The 6,055-nt window shown below is 48.8% G+C and overlaps 1 annotated feature.

Moving 5' to 3' along the window:
* Positions 527-713: a silencer, noted in NCBI's record as "fragment chr2:236080141-236080327 (GRCh37/hg19 assembly coordinates)". NCBI's record gives its function as "represses an EF-1alpha promoter that drives an FKBP-Casp9 reporter gene in an ReSE screen in both phorbol 12-myristate 13-acetate-treated (for megakaryocytic differentiation) and untreated K562 erythroleukemia cells {active_cell/tissue: K562 | K562(+PMA)}" and the evidence as "EXISTENCE:reporter gene assay evidence [ECO:0000049][PMID:32094911]".

The raw sequence follows: 6,055 nt of genomic DNA, 5'->3' as shown, positions 1-6,055 counted from the left end.
GACCCTGAGCAATGACCCCAGTCTCATATCTATGAAGCCAGCCCTGTGTGGGGGATGCTAAGAATCTCTGAAGGGTATTTGCTGGACATTAAGACTTTTCTGACCACCCCAGACCTGGCTAGAATCCTAGCCAGGGCAGGAACCTGGTCATTTGTGTCACAGAGCCCCAGTAATTCTCATGACTGGACAACTTTGGGAAGCACAGCCCACATGCCTGCTTCCTTGCCGAGGGAGTGGCAGGAAATACCGCCTGTGCCTAGGCAATCATTCTGTTATGTTTGTGACCCTGACCCTTACAGTCTGATTAGACCAGAGACAGGTACATGGTTCAAGAACAGATAACCTATAGGCTGGCTGACACCCTATTATGTAGCTTCACACAAAAAAGCTCTGCCAAACAGAAGCAGTGGCGATTGTTCACTCCAATTAGAGTGGTTTTTATCAAGATTGCAAACTGAAACTGGGAGCAGATGGAGAAGGACAGACAGACACACACACACACACATACACACACAGACACACACAGAGAGAGAGAGAGGAATTAGCTGAGTCATGTTGATGATAGAGCAACAGGGTCAGGATGAGTAGACATCCCCTCGTGAGAAGACATTCTCCAGACCTCTTGGCTGGTAGTTCAGCCATTGGGCTCCTAGGACCCTAGGACCATTGCTCAGAGCCTAACGTGATTTGTTCTCTTGGCAAAATGGCCTGATGTCAAGGCCATGCCATCCTTATTTTCAAGAGTTTTCTTGCCTCTTGTGATATAACCTGAGTGATTTTATTCTTGCAACAAGAAAGGATCATTTTCATTTGTCAGATGAGAAAACTGAGGTTCAGGTTGCTTAGGTAACAGGCATGACGTCATGAAGATACGCTGATGCCAAAGGTCAGTGTGGGCTGCCTCCTGAAAGATGGCAATACTTAGAATGTTGATCACTGGTGGGGGAGGAGGGGTGCAAAATGAGAGGCAGAGCAGAAAAGAGGTCCCTGAATGTCACTGGTGCTCCTACCTGAGGCCAGAAGCAGATCAATACCCTAGCTTCACCTGCATCCGGGTCAGATTGGCACAGGCGACAGGGCTCCTTCTTCTCTGACACTGTTTGCTGGCTGCAAGCCTCATCTCAGCCTCCTGGGGTGCTGTACGGATGTTATAATAGCCTGAGGCAATGACAGCTGCAGTCCTGGTGAAATAGCTGAGAAGGAATTTGCTTGTTCCTTTCTGGTGATCAAAAGAGAGAGAAGGCAGTCCCCCAGGCTGAGACAGTGGGTGGGGACCCACGTTGTGGCACCTCCCAAACAGGCCGAAGGGGAGAGAGCCAGCATTTTCTATGGGGCAAAGTCTTGTACACCCTTTCCTTGCTGCTCCAACTTTAATCGCCTTTATGGTTAATGCACACAGATGCCCAGGATCTTTGCAGAATTATTCATTCTCTGCAACTTTCCTCCTGGGGGTTGGCAGGAACTGCTTGGTTTGATTTTTATAACATTCTTAACTGTAAATGCTGTGGCCCAGGCTTCAGCAATGGAGTGGGAAGCTTGGGAAGTGATTGGTGAAATTTCTGACATAGAGCCCAGTGGGCTTGTCTTAAGACAGGATTCCTGTCAATTTCTTTGAATATCCATTCAGGGAGAGTCAACTCAGATGGAGGAGAAACACTCCTCCTGTTCCCATCTGTCATTTTTGCAAGATGTTTGTTTGTCCTAACTAATGGCTCACCTCGGGCCATCAGACATTTGTTTTTAATTTTCCTCCTTGGATTGAACCTGTTTTAGAAAACAGATTGTATGGAATATTCCAGAAGTTCACTTTTGTTCCAATAAACCAAAATATTCAGTCTATAAGGGATAACGTTTAAAAGATTCAATGCCCTTGGGAAAAAAAGTTGCTGAGTCAGAACTTGCAGTCTTTAAAATTTGTCTTAGGCTGCCTTTGCAGACTGAGTGACAGCATTTTCCTTGTCATAAGTCTCAGATTTCTAGGACAGAGGTAAAGGGATATGACTAAGAAAGGAGACTGCTCATCACTTTTTAATTCACAAGAATGAGCACAGAGTTTCCATTTCCGCTGGCTAAATTGAGTATGTCACTGGGGAGCATATCATGACTTGGTTGCATGGGGCTGCAAGAAGTAGCTTAATTCGGCCTCACCCACCAAGGCAGAAGGCCTGTCCTGCTCACTGCCTCAATTCCACTGAGTAGAGGACCTCCTTCAGCTGCTCAAGGGCCCAGCAGGTTGGAGGTTCCCCAGAAGTCCCCGCTGTTCCTCCAAGTGTGAGGCACAAGTTCCAAGTGAAAGACAGACAGAGGGTTTGTAAGCAGTGGGCCCCTGTGCTGTGATGGGCATGACTATCTGGGAAATAGAGCTTCCCTGTCCACACTTGCCAACCAGTCTCCTCTTGGCTGTAGTATTAAGGACAGCAAATGATCGTTGTTCAGCCAAAAGTTCTAATAGCCTGGAAGGTAGGGTACACTGACTTCCCAAGTCCCTGGCCAAGTCCTTTCTCAGCAATTTAAACCCAAATTTAAAACCAGGCCAAAATTTTGATCACTCAGCCGAACTGTACCTGATGTCTGTAGACTTTTTGAAGGTCTACTTCAACCAGTTTGTTGCAATAGTGGTGAAGTCTAAAATGCAATTGAGGGCCTTTCATGCATCATTGTCCTGGTGTAAATGTTAATAGCACTCACAAACTGTCCCACTTTTGATGACAAATTAAGTGGCTCCTCCAAGAGATGAAAGAGGATAGAAACCATAGGGTTTCTAAACCACCTTGCATGAAGGAAAAGACACTCCTTCACATAATCACCTCACCATTGCCACCATCACCATCATCACCACTACCATGACCATGACCACCATCACCATCATGATCAGCACAACCATCACCATCATCACCATTCACCATCATCACCATCACCACCATCATCACCACCACCATTACCATCAACTCACCATCGTCTTCACCATTATCATCATCACCATGGTCACTAACCCTCCTTACATTCAATGCAGTTTAGAAGGTGTTATCTGGTATTCTGACCTGATTTTATCTTTACAACATGCTGTAGGCAAGACAGCAGGGACAATTATGCCATTTGACAGGAGGGAAGGCTAAAACTCAGAGAGACGAAGCTACTTCCCTGCTCAATCTAGACCTCAAAGAGGTTTTCCCAGGGTGTGGCTCTTGCCCTCATGCTAGAAAGTGTTTGTCAGGCTAACAGTGAGGAGAGAGAGAGACAGCACGCGTGTGTGTGGCCTGTGTGCTCAAGCAGGTGTTTGAGGAGGAGAAACACATTCCAAGCAAAGGGAAGAGGTTGGCAACATAAGCCAATACTGTGCACTTTCAGATAACTGCTGTTTCTGCCTGGCCACTCCTTCTGAAGTCCTCTCGGGTCATGTGGCATCCTCTTCAAGCCCTGTCATGGTCTCTGTTCCCAGAGAAGGCAGAGTAGACTCTGCTTAGCATGGCCCCAGCGGCCCTTCCCCATCTGGCCCTGCTGCCTTCCTGGCCCCATTCAGTCTTCCCCAACCCCCTTCTTTAAAGCCTCTGTAACGCCTCTCACTGCTCCTTGAGCTGCTCTTAAACCCACAAGGGCTGTTTTCCTGCACATTATGCCTCAGCTCTTGCCTCCTCCTAAATGCCTTGCAAATCCCTTCCTGCTTGTCTGCCACCTCCTCCATGAGGCTTTGCTGTCAAGTCCTCCTCGGTGCCCTGCTGCACCCTGAGAATGCTTCCATTCTGACTGTGCTTGTCCTTTGTGTGCTGCAGCAGGGCTGTCAGCCTGAGCTGTCCCCTCAGCTGACTGTTTTCCAGGACCTGACATGAAGGAGCAGTCTTGGGAAAGGGCGGGGCTGTCTCTGCCTCGGGTGCTAAGGGCCACCCTGGGATAAGGCTCATGCTGTTTCCTCTGCTGGGGATGAGCCTAACCTCCACTGACAGGGAAAATGGGTGGACTTCCTATAGCTGCCTTTGGGTGGAGGAGAGGCCAAAGAGCCTATAGGAAGAGAATTTCCTTTAAGGGGAAAGGAGCCAGGCAGGATGACCTGGACCCACTGACAGCATTTTGGTTGTCAATAGGAAGGAGAGATTCTGAAAACAGCATCCTGGAAGTTAACTGAGCCCTCAAGGGCTCCTCCTGAACCAGTATCCTGGAGGAAGAGGACCACATGTGCAACCGAGTGAGCGGTGTGGTTGGATTAGTCTGCTGAGGCTGCCACAGAGTACTGCAAACTGGGTGACTTGAACAACATCCATTCATTATCTCGCAGTTCTGGAGACTCAAGTCCAACTTTAAGGTGTCTCCAGGGTTGGTTCCTTCTGAGGCTGTGAGGGAGGGTCTGTTCCAGGGCTTTCCTTGGCATGTGACAACTGTCTTCTCCCTGGGTCTCTTTACATCCGCTTTCTTCTATCCCGGTGTGTCTCTGTATCCAAATTTCTAGACACAGAGACAGATGGGGATAGGACCCTAGTCATATTGGATTTGGGCCCACCCTACTCTGGGATGACTTCTTCCTAGCTGAGATGATTGTAACTGCAATGACCCTCTAACGAAATACGGTCACATTCTGAGGTCCTGGGGGCTAGGACTGCCACATATGAATTTTAAGGCAGCATAATTCAGCCCATAACAATCACTGAACTCTGTGACATACTGGGACCCCAACAGCGCTTCTCCAATGCGGTGTACTATGATGGGGTGTATACAGGCACCACCACATCCGGCTAACACACCACTCCAGGCCATCAGGCAGCCCAGGCACAAGTAGCCTCCAGGAGAAAGCCGCTGAATCACGAGGACTGGCAAGGCCCCTGCTGTGCCCTGCAAAATGGCTCTTACTGGCCCTGAGCCATAGCAGGGACCTTGGTGCCAGGAACACAAGCCTAGCAGAGTGACAACAGGACCACACCTGCCCCATCCCTTAGCTTGGAAGTGGATGTGTTAGGAACCTCACGTGGACTCCCAGAGATTCTTGGCAGGGGGAGAGATCTTTGCAGAGGCAGAAAGGAGCCAGCATCAGGGCTATTTACAACATGCCTCCCTCTCCTACGGATTTGCAGGATGATAAAGGGGTGGTTTCTATCTTAATTCATCTTCATAACCCTAGAAACCAGCACAGCATCAATGCTTAATATATTTGTGGAGAATAAATGGGTAAATGAGATAGACAAGGCATTTTGGATCTCTGAAGGAAAATCAATGCATCAGTGAATCATTCCATTGGGCAGTGCAGGGCCCCATGGAAGATCACCCAGAAACAGGCAACACATGGCCCATTAACTCTGTCGTTTACTCAGTAAACAAGTTATTGAGTGCCTTCTCTGTGTTGGGCTCCTTTACCTGCCAGGGGTTACAAAGACGGCCTAGTCCAGACACTCGGATTAGCAATCCTGAAGAACAGATAAAACCGGAACAGAGGCCGGGCACAGTGGCTCATGCCTGTAATCCCAGCACTTTGGGAGGCCGAGACAGGAGGATCACTTGAGGTCAGGTGTTCGAGACCAGCCTGGCCCACATGGCGAAACCCCATCTTTACTAAAAATACAAAAATTAGCTGGGTGTGGTGGCACATGCCTGTAATCCCAGCTTCTTAGGAGGCTGAGGCAGGAGAATCGCTTGAACCCAGGAGGCAGAGATTCCAGTGAACCGAGATTGCACCACTGCACGCCAGCCTGGGTGACAGAGCAAGACTCTGTCTCAAAAAACAAACAAACAAACAAAAAAGAACACAACTGGAACAGAGTCCAGTGGCACGCTGAACTGTGTGGTCCTGATGGCCAGGCTGCAAACAGAGCATAGAAAAGAAATTGAGGCAGGTGGGAGAAACTGGTACGGGCTTCAGTTCTGGTTCTGCACTGTCCAGGGAGAGGGTGCAGGGTTAGAGCAAAGAAAATGGTTGGAAGTCACACAAGTTGCCAGATGTGGGGAGGAGGTCAAAGAGCGAGGCTTTATTTATTTATTTATTTTGAGATGGAGTTTCACTCTTGTCGCCCAGGCTGGAGTACGGTGGAGTACTCGGCTCACTGCAATCTCCACCTCCCAGGTTCAAGTGATT

This window comes from Homo sapiens, chromosome 2 (genome assembly GCF_000001405.40).
Source record: "Homo sapiens chromosome 2, GRCh38.p14 Primary Assembly".
Lineage (NCBI taxonomy): Eukaryota > Metazoa > Chordata > Mammalia > Primates > Hominidae > Homo > Homo sapiens.
This window is presented reverse-complemented; position numbering and strand designations above follow the sequence as displayed.